Here is a 14,996-nt window from a genome sequence, read left to right as displayed (position 1 = left end):
GCTGAGCTGCCCCTCCTGCCTAACACGCCACTGTCTCTGGAGATCGGGCTGTGCGTGAACATGCGGAGCCTGCCCTGGTACGTCCCGGCCAACCCCGACTCCTTCTTCCCACGCTGCTACAGCCTCTGCACCGAGAGTGAGCAGCAGGAGTTCCTGGGTAAGTGAGGAGACGGCAGAGGGCCCCAGTGCTGTCAGCAGAGAGGCTTCTAGAAAGATCCCCCTGGTGCTGAGACAGACTGATGGGGCAGGGTCTGAGGATAGAGGACCGGGGAGAGGCCTCCCATGGTCATGGTCATGGCAGTACAGAGGCCAGGGGCCCCGGGAGGGAGGGCGGGCAGTCAAGGAGTGTGTGGTTCTGTGCTAGGCTTGTGGACAGCGCGGCGAGCAGCTGGGGCAAGGCCGGCTCCGTGGTCGGAGGCCGAGGGGTGCAGCTGGACGGCCGCAGTCACAGAGACACTGCAGGGAGAAGGGCAGGCAGACTGGGGGTGTGGGAGCAGGCCTGGGCCCCATCGGCTATGAGGGCGGGAAGTGGGGCGGGTTGGGGAGCCTCCGTGGCCCTGGCCCCATCTCCAGTCCCCAGTCCTGGCTCGGACAGATAGGGCGAGGCTGTGCTGTCCTTTCAGAAGACTTCCGGCGCACCATGGCATCCAGCATCCTCAAGTGGGTGGTCAGCCACCAGAGCTGCAGCAGGAGCAGCAGAAGCAAGCCCAGGGACCAGAGGGAGGAGGCCGGGAGCAGCGACCTGAGCAGCAGGCAAGGTGCGCTGGGCCGGGGCAGGGCAGTGCCAGGCCACCAGAGCTCGGGGCCTCCACAGGGGCCCTCCCGCCTCCTGGGTGTGGTCAGTCCTGAGGGTTGCAGCAGCCGGGGCTGGATACAGCGATGCCTCAGACTCTCTCGATTCTCATGGCAGACGGGTTTTCTGTTCTAACCGTGGGGCTAAACGTCAAAGTCACCCCGTTTGTAAAGCACCTGGCAGTTAACGCAGCCCTGGGACGTCCGAGTCCCACACTCACTGCCACAGTCCTGTGCCGCGGACGTGGTTCCAGCCTGTGGTCGGAAGCCTGCCCCACCCCACGGCCACCACGATGCCGCAGCCTGAGTCTCCCCAAAGGGGCCCCGTGGGAGAGGACACAGGAAGCCCAGGGGAGAGGCGCCCCTGGGTGGTACAGGGATGTGAACCAGCCGTCGTGTTTTTGGACAAAACCCAAATCTTTTTTGTGGTTGTTGGTTTTAATAAAATGTAATTTCTAGAGCAGTTTTAGGTTCACAGCACAGCTGAGCAGAGGGTACAAGATTTACCACACTCTCCTGCCCCCGCGCCTCCTGCACCGCCAACATCCCCCACCAGAGCAGTGCGCTTCGACTGTTGACAGATGAACATTGGCGCATTAAACTTTTAGAGTGTATTTGAGCAAACGGTGATTTGTGCCAATCAGGAGGCTGCAGGGCTCCACCGAGGGGAAAAGCCCTTCTAGGTAAACGTGGAAACAGAGGAAATAAATCCTGATTGGTGAACGCTGGAGCGGTGGCTTCATTTGTGCTGAGTGAGAACTTGTTCCCAGCTGGCTGCCTGTGATTGGCTGTGCTTACATTCCGTTTTCAATTCTGAGTTAGGTTGTAGTTTGCATTGGTCGGAGACCAGGTCACTTGGGCCACCTCATCTGATGGCCTCCTAATTAATGTTTTTTTTTTTTTGAGATGGAGTCTTGCTCTGTCACCCAGGTTGAAGTACAATGGCATGATCTTGGCTCACTGCAACCTCCGCCTCCTGGGTTCAAGCGATTCTCCTGTCTCAGCCTCCCGAGTAGTTGGGTGCCCACCACCACGCCCGGCTAATGTTTTGTATTTTTAGTAGAGATGGGGTTTTGCCATGTTGGCCAGGCTGGTCTCGAACTCCTGACTTCAGGTGATCCGCCCACCTCGGCCTCCCACAGTGCTGGGATTACAGGCTTGATCCACCGTACCTGGCCTAATTAATGATTTTAACACAATTGATGAACCTACAATGACACATCATGGTAACCCAAATGGTGTTATACATTCTACAGGTTTGGACAATGTATGATGCCGTGTATCCACCATTCCAGTATCAGACAGAGATGGTCCCCGGCCCTAAAACTCCCTGTGCTCTGTCTCTTCATCCCCCCGCCCCCGAGCTCTTGGCTACCACTGATCTTCTTCCTGTCTCCACGGTTTTGCCTTTTCTAGAATGCCATTCGGTTAGAACCACGTAGCATGGAGCGTTTTCAGATGGGCTTCTTCGACTTAGTAATATGCATTTAAGATCCCTCCAGGTCTTTTCATGGCTTGAGAGCGCTTTTCTTTTTAGGGCTGAGTGATACTCCACTGTCTAGATCTACCACTGTTTATTTATCTATCCATCTACTGAAGGACACGTCGGCACCACTGTTTATCTATCTATCCATCTACCGAAGAACATGTTGGCACCACTGTTTATCTATCTATCCATCTAACGAAGGGTGTCTCGGTACCACTGTTTATCTATCTATCCATCTACCGAAGAACATGTCGGCACCACTGTTTATCTATCTATCCATCTACCGAAGGACGTCTCGGCACCACTGTTTATCTATCTATCCATCTACCGAAGGACGTCTCGGCACCACTGTTTATTTATCTATCCATCTACCGAAGGGTGTCTCGGTACCACTGTTTATCTATCCATCCATCTACCGAAGAACATGTCGGCACCACTGTTTATCTATCTATCCATCTACCGAAGGACGTCTCGGCACCACTGTTTATCTATCTATCCATCTACTGAAGGACATGTCGGCACCACTGTTTATCTATCTATCCATCTACTGAAGGACATGTCGGCACCACTGTTTATCTATCTATCCATCTACTGAAGGACGTCTCGGCACCACTGTTTATCTGTCTATCCATCTACCGAAGGACGTCTCGGTCACTTCCAGGTTTTGACGATCATGAATAACGTTTCTGTCGACATCTGTGTGCAGGTCTTTGTGTGACCATAAGTTTTGAATTCATCTGGGTAAATACCAAGGAACGCACTTACTGGGTGGTATGGCAAGAGTATGTTTCATTTTGTAAGAAACTGCCAGACTGTCTTCCAAAGTCGCTGTACCATTTTGCATTTCCACCAGCAATGAGGGAGAGTTCCTGTTCTCCACATCCTCGCCAGCGTCTGATGTGGTCAGGGTTCTGTTTGTAGCATTCTCCTGGGTCTTTATTAGTGTCTCATGATTGTGGTGATTGTGTTGTGAGACAGGGTCTCACTGTGTTGCCCAGGCTAGTCTCAAACTTTCAGGCTCCAGCGATCCTCCCGTGTCAGCCTCCCAAAGTGCTGGGATTGCAGGTGTGAGCCACTGTGCCTAGCCTCCATTTCCTTATGAATTTCTGAGGGTATTTTATAGAAAAAACTTGTAGATACAGAATTGCTAGTCCATAGTGGTATATGATGTTGAGCATGTGTTCATATGCTTGTTTTCCATCTGTATATATTTTTTGGTGAGGTGACTGTTCAGATTGTTCATTTTTAAATTGTTTTCTGGCTGGGTAAGGTGGCACACACCTGTAATCCCAGCTGTTCGGGAGGCTGAGGCAGGAGAATCACTTGAACCCAGGAGGCGGAGGTTGCAGTGAGCCAAGATCTTGCCATCCAGCCTGGGCGACAAGAGCAAAACTCTGTCTTAAAACAATAAAAATAAAAAATAAAATTATGTTTTCTTATTGTTGAGTTTCAAGAGGTCTCTGTATACTCTAGGTAATATTCCTTTATTAAGTGTGTGCAAATATCTCCTCCCAGTCTGTGGCTTGTCTTCCCATTGTCTTAAAATTGTTCTTTACAGAGCAGAAGTTTTTCATTTTAATGAAGTCGAACTTATCAGTAATTGCTACTGTGAGGAGCTGAGGGTCCAGTGGCAGGGCCCATATGTTTCCTGTGGGGAGGTGGCACTCACAGAGCCATTGGAGGTTGGGACCGTTCAGGAGGGAGGAAGTCACCTGCCCAGACACAGGCGTGACATCCAGGGCGGTTGCCCAGAGAAGCTTGGTTGGGTATTGGGGTGCCTGTCTGGGGATCTGGGATACTTGTTGGGTATTGGGGCACAGAGGGAGTGGAGCAGCCTTTGTCCATGACTTTAGACATCACCCCTCGAGGCGGGCAGGGCTGCCCCTGGGTGAGGTTCCCACTGCATGTGCCTGTGTCTGGGTTTCAGATGCTGAAAATGCTGAGGCAAAGCTCAGGGGCCTCCCGGGGCAGCTTGTGGACATCGCGTGCAAGGTGTGCCAGGCCTACCTGGGGCAGCTGGAGCATGAGGACATCGACACGTCAGCAGATGCCGTGGAGGACCTCACTGAGGCCGAGTGGGAGGACCTGACCCAGCAGTACTACTCCCTCGTTCAGTAAGACTTACGCAGGCCCCTGGCACATGTCGGAGCTGTGAGTGCAGATTGCAGGAGCTGCCGGGGCAGTGCAGCCTCTGGGAACTGGGTCACCTGTCTGGGCATTAGGCTACCTGTGGGGTATTGAGTGTTGAGATGCCTGTCCTGGCGTTGGGGCTCCTGTCTGGATGTCTGGGATGCTTGTTGAGTATTGTGGTGTCTGTCTGGATGTCTGGGATACTTGTTGGGTATTGGGGTGTCTGTCTGGATCTTGGGGTGCCTTATGGGTGTCGGGGTGCCCAGGCCCTCTGTTGCCTGTCCCACCAGGACCCTGATGACTGTTGAGAGGATGATACCCCCTCAGGGTGCCTTTGGGGAGTAGCATTGTCTTGTGCATCTTCAAAATCCAGAAGGTTATGATGTCATTTGAGCCCCCCACAGCCCGAGACAGGCAGGTGGGGTTTGTCTGTCTCTCCACTGGGGCACCTGCCTCACTCTTGGTGTTGGTGAGTGACTGGCAGAGGTGTGCCTGGGCCCAGAGCTCCTGGCAGCTGGCGAGTGACTGGCAGAGGTGTGCCGAGGCCCAGAGCTTGGCAGCTGGTGAATGACTGGCAGATGTATGCCTGGGCCCAGAGCTCCTGGCTCGCTGACTCTCATCATCACCATTTGCCACTCCAGGGGTCCAAAGGCTGACCCTGGCCTTCTTGCCCCCTGCTGAGGGCCCAGTTCTTCCTGGGGCCAGGGGTTCAGCACTCCCTTGACAGCGGCCACCAGAGAGAGGAGCTGGGCAGAGGTGGGCCTGGCACCCCCGGAGCATGAGCAGGTGCCGGCTGATGGGCAAGTCAGGAAAGTGACTTCTTTCAGAGGGTCTGCGGCAGCTTCATGCTTCATCCCAGGGTGGTGTTTATTCTTTTGTCTCTTTCTTCTTCTTGTGAATTAATCAAATATTTTTCTTTTCCTTTTATTGAGGGATTACATAAATACGGTTAAGGGCACACAGTGTATAATCATATTTGTACAGGTGGAAGAAATTTTGCTTACGTGTCCACCTGCATAGCCACAGCCCACTTGAGACACAAAACGTTTCCAGTCCCCCATCAGCCCCTATTAACCTTTCCCGGGAGAACCCCCACAGGGGTCACAACCCATTCTGGCTCCTGCAACCATGAACCAGTTTTGTTTTCAGATTTCACATTTGGGGAACAGTCTGTGCTCTCTCGTTTATGACTTCTTGTGCCCAACATGAAATCTGTGAGGTCCGTCCACGCTGGCACACATGAGATCTGTGAGGTCCGTCCACACTGGCACATGTGAGGTCCTTGAGGTCCATCCACGCTGTTACACGTGAGGTCCATGAGGTCTGTCCATGCTGGCACATGTGGGATCCATGAGGTCTGCCTACGCCGGCACAAGTGAGGTCCATCCATGCTGACACATGTGAGGTCCGTGAGGTCCGTCCACGCTGGCACACATGAGGTCCATGAGGTCCATCCACACTGGCACATGTGAGGTCTGTGAGGTCCGTCCACGCTGGCACACGTGAGGTCCATCCATGCTGGCACATGTGAGGTCCGTGAGCTCTGTCCACACTGGCACACGTGGGGTCTGTGAGGTCCGTCCACGCTGGCACACCTGGGGTCTGTGAGGTCTGTCCCTGCTGGCACACATGAGGTCTGTGAGGTCCATCCAAGCTGGCACACATGAGGTCCGTGAGGTCCGTCCACACTGATACACGTGGGGTCAGTGAGGTCTGTCCACACCGACACACATGAGGTCCATGAGGTCCATCCACGCTGGCACATGTGAGGTCTGTGAGGTCTGTCCACGCTGATACATGTGAGGTCTGTGAGATCCATCCACACTGGCACACATGAGGTCCATGAGGTCCGTCCACACTGATACACGTGGGGTCAGTGAGGTCTGTCCACACTGACACACATGAGATCCGTGAGGTCCATCCACGCTGGCACACGTGGGGTTGGTGAGGTCCATCCACGCTGGCACATCTGTAGTTACGAGTTTTGTTCCTTTTGAAGGTAATATCTTTTCCTCAGGATGCTTTAAGATATTCTCTGTCTTTGGTTTTCAACAGTTTGATTATAATGCTTCTACAAGTAGTTTCTTTGTATTTCTCCTGGTTGAGGTTCGTGGGGCATTTTGATCTGTGGGTTAGAATTTTTCCTCAAATTTAGAATACTCTAGGCCATTATTTCTTGGATGTTCCTTCTTCCCTGTTCTCTCTTCTCTCCTTCCAGGGCTCCAGTTACATACGTGTTAGTGCTGGGATTACAGGCATGAGCCACTGCACCCGGCCTAAATCTGTAATTTAAAAACTTTCCTACAAAGGAGGATCCAAGCCCATAATGATTTCACTAGTTAATTAAATTTAATTAATTCATTAATTAAAATTAATTCCAATAACACAAAAATGCTTTCAAGTAACAGAGAAAGAGAGAACATTTTCTAATCATTTTATGAGGCCAGAAAAGCCTGATATCAAAACTTGAAAAAAGTAAAATAACAAAAAATCATAGGCCAGTATTTCTCATGAATATATATGTACACAAAACTTTAACCGAAATATTATTTAATTAAACCAGTGAAATGTGAATGAAATAATACATCAGAACCAAATGGGCTTTATTCCAAGAATGCAAGGTTGGTTTAACATTGAAAAGTTAATCAGTGAATTTTATTACACTTTCAGAATAGAAAAGAAAAGGTATAAGATCATCTCAATAGATGCAAAAATTGATGAAACTTAATACCTGTCCTAGTAAATTTGTTTAGCCAACTTGGAAATGAAAAAACTCTTCTTTTTTTTTTTTGAGATTGGGGTCTCACTCCGTCCACCTAGGCTGGAGTGCAGTGGTACAATCATAGCTCACTGCAACCTCAAACTCCTGGGCTCAAGCAATCTTTCCACCTCAGCTTCTCAAGTAGCTGGGACTCCAGGCACGTGCCACCACACTGGCTAATTTTTTAATTATTTTGTAGAGACAGGGTCTTGCTATGTTGCCCAGGCTTGTCTTGAATGCCTGGCCTCAAGCAGTCCTCCTGCTTTGGCCTCCCAAAGTGCTAGCATTACAGGCGTGACTGACTACACACAGCCAGATCTTTTCATTTGAAAGTTTAAGAATCCAACAGCTAACATATTTCGTAGTGGTTATATATTATTGAGAGTGTCCTCCTTGAAATCAGAATGAGACGAAGTTGCTCATCATCAGACTTCTGTTCAGCATAGACTGAGTGGTCTGACTAGTTAAATAGTACAGGAAAAAAAAAAGTAAGGCATAAAGATCAGAAAGGAAGAAATAAAGTTCCTATTTGTAGATGATATGATTGTTCATATAAAAAATTTAATATTTAAATAATTTAAATAAATGATAAAGTATTAAAATTAAGTGAAATCAGCAAGGTCACTGGGTACAAAGTTAATATACAAGACTCCATCATATTTCTGTGTTCTAGCAACAAATCGTGAAACGAAATTCTAAAAACACAATACACTAACATCAAATAACAACAAACCTCTAGAAATAAATCTAACAAAATACATTCAAGACCCTAAATTTAAAGTTATAAAGTTAGAGACAGTAAATACCTAATAAACGTGTGTGTGTGTGTGTGTATAACATGTTAATGACTTAGAAGACTCAATAGTGTAGAGATGTTTGTTTTTCTCAGACTAATCAATAGAGTCAATGTAATCCCAGCCAGAATCCTGAGAGGTATTTTTTTTGTTGGGGGGCAGGAGGAATTAATGAACTGATTTATATAGAAATATGAATGATTTAAGAAGAGCCAAAACAGACTTGATAAAGAAAAACAAAATTGGAAGACTTGTGCTCCAAATTTCAAGACTTACTCTAGGTTTACAATAGTTAAGATGTGATATTGGGATAGGATCAGTGTAAGAGAATAGAGTCTAAAGATAGACCCTCCTATCTGTGTTCACTGCATTCGAGACCAAGCTGCTGCTGCAATTCATTAGGGAAAGGTTGGTCTTTTCACTAAATGATGCTTAAACAGTGGTCAGCCATACGAAAAAAAAATGTACCTTGAATTCTGCTTCACAAATACACAAAAATTAGTTTGATATATCATATATGTGAAAGGTTTTTAAGAATGGGAAAACATTGGGCCGGGCGTGGTGGCTCACGCCTGTAATCCCAGCACTAGGCCGAGGCGGGCAGATCATGAGGTCAGGAGTTCCAGACCAGCCTGGCCAATATGGTGAAACCCATCTCTACTAAAAATACAAAAATTAGCTGGGCGCGGTGGTGCGTGCCTGTAGTCCCAGCTACTCAGGAGGCTGAGGCAGAAGAATCTCTTGAACCCAGGAGGCAGAGAGGCTGCAGTGAGCTGAGATGGCGCCACTGCACTCCAGCCTGGGGCAACAGAGCAAGACTCTGTCTCAAAAAAAAAAAAAAGTTAAAACGACATCAAGTATTTGCCAACGTGTGGAGCAGCTGGAACTCTAGCACACGGCTAGGGGAGTGTAAATTGGCACAACCCATTTAGAAAAGTCTTTGACAGTTTCTTACACGTTTAGGCATCTACATACCCAATGGCCCAGATAATCCATTCCAAGGTATTTATGCAAGAGAAATGGAAACATGTGTCCTCAGAAAGACTTCATGATGGCCCAAATCTGGAAACTGCCAAACTGTGTCCAAGGAGGGGCTGAGCTATGCTGCAGCGTGGATGAATCTCACAGTCAGGTCGAAGGAAGCCAGACACTGGCTGGGCGCGGCGGCTCACACCTGTAATCCCAGCAGTTAAGGAGGCCGAGGCGGGGGGATCACCCGAGGTCAGGAGTTTGAGACCAGCCTGGCAAAAATGGTGAAATCTGTTTCTACTAAAAATACAAAAGTTAGCTGGGCATGGTGGCTCATGCCTGTAATCCCAGCTACTTGGGAGGCTGAGGCAGGAGCATCGCTTGAATTGGGAGGTGGAGGTTGCAGTGAGCCAAGATCGTGCCACTGCACTCAAGCCTGGGTGACAGAGTGACACTCAGTCTTAAAAAAAAAAAAAAAGAAAAGAAAAGAAAGAGGCCACACACAAAGGAGCACCAATTGTGTAGTTTCATTGACAGGAAGTTCAGGAACAGGGCAGCCCTGTCTGCAGTGATAGTCAGCACCGTAACTGGTCTCCGTTCCTGTTGAGGAGCCCAGGCGTTCCTGTCTCGATCTGGGTGGTGTGTACACGAGTGTACAAGGACGTACACACTGTTCAACTTGACTTTTTTGAGTATGGCAGGATGCACCCCACTGCGTTTTCTTAGACCTGAATTAAAAGGAAGACCCAGGGGTGACCACCAGTGGCAGCATCGGATCCCCGCAAGTCCCTGTGGTCGTCTCATCCCAAACCATGTCAGGAGGGTGGGCGTCCAGGGGAGATTCCCGGCTGCTGCCGGAGGGGGTCTCTCTGGAGTCCCTGGTGCTTCGGGCCCGTCAGTCCTCACCTGCTGGGCTCAGCTGGGACCCCTGGCAGGTGTGCCCTGGGGTCAGGACCCAGAGAGCCCTGGCTGTGGCCCCTGCTCGCCGTCAGCATCTGGAGGCCCGTGCTTGTTCTCTGATGAGTTTGGGATGTGCATCTCATGGTTCCTGGACTTTGCCAGCTCCTGCGCGGTGCTCCGCTGGGCTCCTGAGCAGCTGTATCCCTCACTGCTCACAGCCTTCTCCCCCCAAAGCAGGGGCAACACAGTGGCGCGTACACTTGTGGGGACAGTGGTCCTGCCCAAATACCACCTTCCAATGTGAGGGCTGTCACAGGCTCGGGGCTGGGCTGTCCTGGGAGGCTGTGAGGGATTCCTTCCCACAGATCATCCTCCTGAGGGAGTCGCTGTAGCCCCGTGTCACTGGGAGCTTGCTGGTATCCTGGGCGGCCTTGGCAGTGACCAACATGGTGGACGTCATGGGTGACCCACCCTATTTAGACCACAATAGTTGGGGACTGACCTGTGCTGCACAGACAAGGCTGCTTCAGGGGCGCGGGGGGCTGGCTGTGCCCGGTTTGCTCCAAGTTCTCATCACAGTTGAGCAGTCCTGTTGCCATCCTGAGGTCAGGAGTGCTCGGCGCTCACCACGGAGGAGGCGTGGCAGCCGGTGAGAGCCAGGAGGTGCCACTGCCTGAGGTCGCCTTCAGTCCTTCCCTGGGAGGGGCTTGTCCCTACAGGGGCTCTCGCCCAGGCACCCCCGGCCACAGTTCCACAGTGGTGGGGCCCCTCCCATGTTGTCAGGGACACCCCAGCCTCACTTCTCCCTTCAAGCTGCCCCCAGCAGGTGTGAATGGAACCCCGATGTCCTGTGTCTTCAGGGGCTTCCCCACCCCAGCCCAGGCCGGCTGTGAGAGTCACGGCTGGCGTCCTTGGAGCCCCACTGGCTCTCACTCCTGTGCTGCAGCCACCTTGTCAGGACGTCATGGGGTCCCCACCAGGTCTTCACAGCTCTGAGTCTGCCCACGCAGGACGGCTCCAGCGGGCCCTGGGGCAGCTGCTGGTACTGGCATGGCTTCCCCCCAATCCATCCGGGCAGCAGGAGTGCACCCCCGAACTCTAAAAGCCCCTCAAACAGCTCTCCCCACCCTCTCCTTATTCCCTGTGGTTATGATGATTTCCTGAGTCTAGCCCGTGACTGCAAAGGGTCTTGAGTCAGAATGATGCTGAGCTCCCAGGATGTGGTGCTGGCAGCTGGCCGGGACACAGGAGGCCTGCACGGGCCGGCCACTTTCCTACCAGGGGTCGGTCCCAGGCACCACCAACCACAGGCGGAAGCTGGGCATGGCTGCGTCTGCCCCCGCCTGTGTCTCCCACGTTTCCGCGTGGCTGCATCTCCCCACCCCCACCCGTGCATCCCACCATTTCCACCCAGGCAGGGTGCTGCTTGGGGTCTGTGGCCAGCTCCGACCCACACACCGGGGTCCCCACTGTCTTAACACAGCCCTCGTCTGGAGCAGCCTCACAGGGCTGTGTTTTCCAGGTGTCCATACTGTTGGGAGAACTTCCTGGGCCGACCCGCAGCCCTTTCCCGCCAGGCCAGCCCCAGACCATCCTAGAGCCGAGCGCCTGCTTGGTGGGTGAGGCGGGGCCCAGGCCTCCAAGTCTCATGCACTTTCTGGATCTTGCTTTGTAGTGGCGATGCTTTCATCTCCAATTCAAGAAATTACTTTTCGCAGTGCCAGGCTCTGCTGAATAGAATCACGTCTGTGAACCCTCAGACGGACATTGACGGGCTCCGGAACATCTGGATTATAAAGCCCGCGGCCAAGTCCCGGGGCCGAGGTGAGTCCCCTGGTGCGGATGCTCCCTGCACCGCGTTCATAGCCACCAACGGCCACACTTGATGCCAGGAGCCGTGAGTGAGGGACAGTTTCAGGCCCACAGCACCACAGGGAAGGAAGGGAGGGAGCAGAACGCCGAGGCAGGCGTGGGGGTCAGGACTCAGGCGCTGGAGCAGAGCTGGAGGCGTCTTCACAGCATGTGTTCCGATCACAGGGCAGGATCCGGGTTGATGGGTTAATCAGGATTTCCTCCTTTGTATTCACAAACTGGTCTATGCTTTCCTTTTTAGTTTTTTATTTTTATTATTTTATTTTTAGTTTTTTGAAACGGAGTTTCACTCTTGTTGCCCAGGCTGAAGTGCAGTGGCGCAATCTTGCCTCACTGCAACCTCCACCTTCCAGGTTTAAGCAATTCTCCTGCCTTAGCCTCCCAAGTAGCTGGGACTACAGGCGCCCACCACACCCGGCTAATTTTTTGTATTTTTAGTAGAGATGGAGTTTCACCATGTTGGCCAGGCTGGTCTTGAACTCCCGACCTCAAGTGATTCACCTGCCTCGGCCTCCCAAAGTGCTGGGATTACAGGCATAAGCCACCATGCCCATCCTCCTGGCTCCCTTTTAAAAGTGTCTCTGTCCCTGCCCCTTCACTGATCTCTGTGTCCCCTCTGGGGTCTCAGAGGCTGGTTCTGTTGGGGGAGAGCCTGGGGGACTCAGGCACTGGCTTTAGCCTCATCCATGAGCGCTAAGCCTTCCCTGCTCCCCCATCGCCCCCACCAACCATGCTGCCTGCTGGCCTTGGACAAAGCCAGTGCAGGTCTCAGGGCCAAGCTGCGACCCTGCCCCAGGGCTCAGGAGCTCAGGTCCCGCTGCACAGTGGCTGTGCATGCTGGGTTGAGCGGTGGCCTCTTGCAGACATAGTGTGCATGGACCGTGTGGAGGAGATCCTGGAGCTGGCAGCTGCAGACCACCCTCTTTCCAGGGACAACAAGTGGGTGGTCCAGAAGTACATCGAGACGCCGCTGCTCATCTGTGACACCAAGTTCGACATCAGACAGTGGTTCCTCGTCACGGACTGGAACCCCCTGACCATCTGGTTCTACAAGGAGAGTTACTTGCGGTTCTCAACTCAGCGCTTCTCCCTGGACAAGCTGGACAGGTCAGTGCGGTGGGCGACCTGGACACCTCGGGCCAGGGAATGGGCTGCTGCCTGCATGCCTGGAGCAGCCGCAGTGAGAAGCAGCACGGGCAGGGCCCCCTCACTGCCACCTGCCACCACGAGAGGCACAGATGGGGAAACTGAGGCTTGGGAGGCTGATGATCTCCCCGAGGGACAGGCCCAGGCCCACCGGCCTTCAAAGCCAGCGCCCTACACCCCACGCTCTGTGCATCATCTCTGGAAAATCTTAAAAGGCACCATTTTGCCTGTGCCCAGGGGGATTGGAATGGTGTGGGCAGCACCTGGGCCCTGGCGCAGGGGAGGCGGCCTGTGGGGTGCCTGGTGGAGGCTCAGATATCCGCAAGTGTGCTGCCCAGGGTGGATGGACCCCCACCTCACCCGGGTCCCCGCGTGGGCAGGAGGGCGAGAGCCTGTGGAGTCCTCAGGAGTGTGCTGTGCACACAGCGACGCCTGCCACCCTCTGTCTGCACCAAGGCTTCCTCTGACTATTGTGTGGCCCTTGCTTGGTGTGAGGCGCTAGGGGACCTGACGGCTGGGCAGGAAGGGGGTCTGCTTTTTACGAGTGAGAATCCAGGGAGGCCTGAGAGTCACGCGACACAGACCTTGCAGGGGAGTTAACTCCGGCCCAGGCGAGCGGCTGCGGTCATGCCTGGTGGGTCATGCTCGAAGTCACACCCAGAAGAGGCCTGGGAGGAGCTGGCCAGGGGCTACGACCCTCACCTGCTCACTGCCTCTGGTCAAGTGGGCCTGGAGGGGGTCCAGGAACTCACCTGTGCAAAAGCAGCTCCCAGGCAGGGCAGTGAGAAGCCAGGGCCCCCTGCCAGCGCCCATTTCTGGGCCTCCAGCTGTGAGCTGTGCGCCTGGCCAATCCCATGGCCTCTCTGAGCCCTGTTTCTCCATCTGGGACAGTAACGCTCATCCCAGCTGGGCCCCTCCAGCAGAGGGTTGGAGTCCTCAGGGGCAGGGTTCTCTAGAGCCAGCTGGGTGGGCTCAGCACGGCTGGGAGGACCGGCCTTGGGTGCCCTCCTGGGCCAAGGGAGGCTGAGCACCTGCCCCTCGTCCCCCCTGCAGCGCCATCCACCTGTGCAACAACGCCGTCCAGAAGTACCTGAAGAATGATGTGGGCCGCAGCCCCCTGCTGCCCGCACACAACATGTGGACCAGCACCAGGTTCCAGGAGTACCTGCAGCGCCAGGGCCGTGGCGCCGTGTGGGGCAGCGTCATCTACCCGTCCATGAAGAAGGCCATCGCCCACGCCATGAAGGTGGCCCAGGACCACGTGGAGCCTCGCAAGAACAGCTTTGAGCTCTACGGGGCTGACTTCGTCCTTGGGAGGGACTTCAGGCCCTGGCTGATCGAGATCAATTCCAGCCCCACCATGCACCCGTCCACGCCGGTCACGGCCCAGCTGTGTGCACAGGTGCAGGAGGACACCATCAAGGTGGCCGTGGACCGCAGCTGTGACATCGGCAACTTCGAGCTCCTGTGGAGGCAGGTGAGCCACGCCCGCCCCTGGGGACTTTGGTGGCCGCCCGCCATGTGGATGCTTTGCCACCTGGTCACTGGGCGAGGGTGGAGCTGCAGGCCGCCAGTGCAGCGGGGTCTATGGAGGACACCGATCCTGCTCTGTGACCATGCTCGGTCCCGCTGAGGGCCCAGGCCTGCCCTGCTCTCCCATGGGGCTCAGTGCCTCGTCGGCACCGAGGAAGGGGCTACTCCAGGCGTGCGGGCGGAGCGGCCCCGCTCACTCAGGCTCAGTGCCTCTGTCCAGCTTTCCTCCCTCTTGTTCCCAGCCTCACCCAGTCCTGACTGTGGTTAGAGGTGGGGGCTCCATGCCCGCAGCCTCCAGGCCACCTATGCTGCTCCTTTGCCTTGGCCTGCAGTGCCTCCTCCACTCTGAGGATCTTTCGCGGGCCTCCCTGTGCCTGCGGATGTGCTGGAGTCATTGGGAAGCGTGGCCAATGCCTCTCTCTTGCGGCCTCTCTGTGGCTAAACTCGGGAAAAGAGCAGCTGAGTCCCTGGGTGTGGGGCCCCCCAGGCTGACCCCCAAGCCTCAGGAAGCCTTGGTTCCCCGCAGGTTCTCCAGAGCCTGGGGGCCTCCTGGGGGTCTGCGTGGGACCCCAGGTGTTCACTGTTCACTCCTGAGTCAGGTGGGGGTCTGTGC

The 14,996-nt window shown here is 53.8% G+C and overlaps 1 protein-coding gene across 8 annotated transcripts in view; it reads left to right on the top strand.

Annotated features, from left to right (window-relative positions):
• Positions 1-14,996, top strand: part of TTLL8 (tubulin tyrosine ligase like 8) — a 39,724-nt gene that overhangs the window by 12,286 nt on the left and 12,442 nt on the right. For 3 of the 8 annotated variants that reach the window (NM_001350317.3, XM_024452172.1, XM_024452174.1), the window contains 6 exons: positions 43-157; positions 624-758; positions 4,206-4,392; positions 11,508-11,656; positions 12,568-12,811; positions 13,904-14,327. In NM_001350317.3, the coding sequence (NP_001337246.1) occupies positions 43-157; positions 624-758; positions 4,206-4,392; positions 11,508-11,656; positions 12,568-12,811; positions 13,904-14,327 (1,254 nt within the window). Of the gene's footprint in view, positions 1-42; positions 158-623; positions 759-4,205; positions 4,393-11,507; positions 11,657-12,567; positions 12,812-13,903; positions 14,328-14,996 lie in introns of those variants that run through there. The other 5 variants (XM_024452173.1, XM_024452175.1, XM_024452176.1 and 2 more) reach the window with 5 other exon arrangements.

The sequence above is a fragment of the Homo sapiens genome, chromosome 22 (genome assembly GCF_000001405.40).
Source record: "Homo sapiens chromosome 22, GRCh38.p14 Primary Assembly".
Classification (NCBI taxonomy): domain Eukaryota; kingdom Metazoa; phylum Chordata; class Mammalia; order Primates; family Hominidae; genus Homo; species Homo sapiens.
The sequence above is the reverse complement of the archived record's forward strand: the minus strand, read 5'-3'. Positions and strand labels throughout refer to the sequence as shown.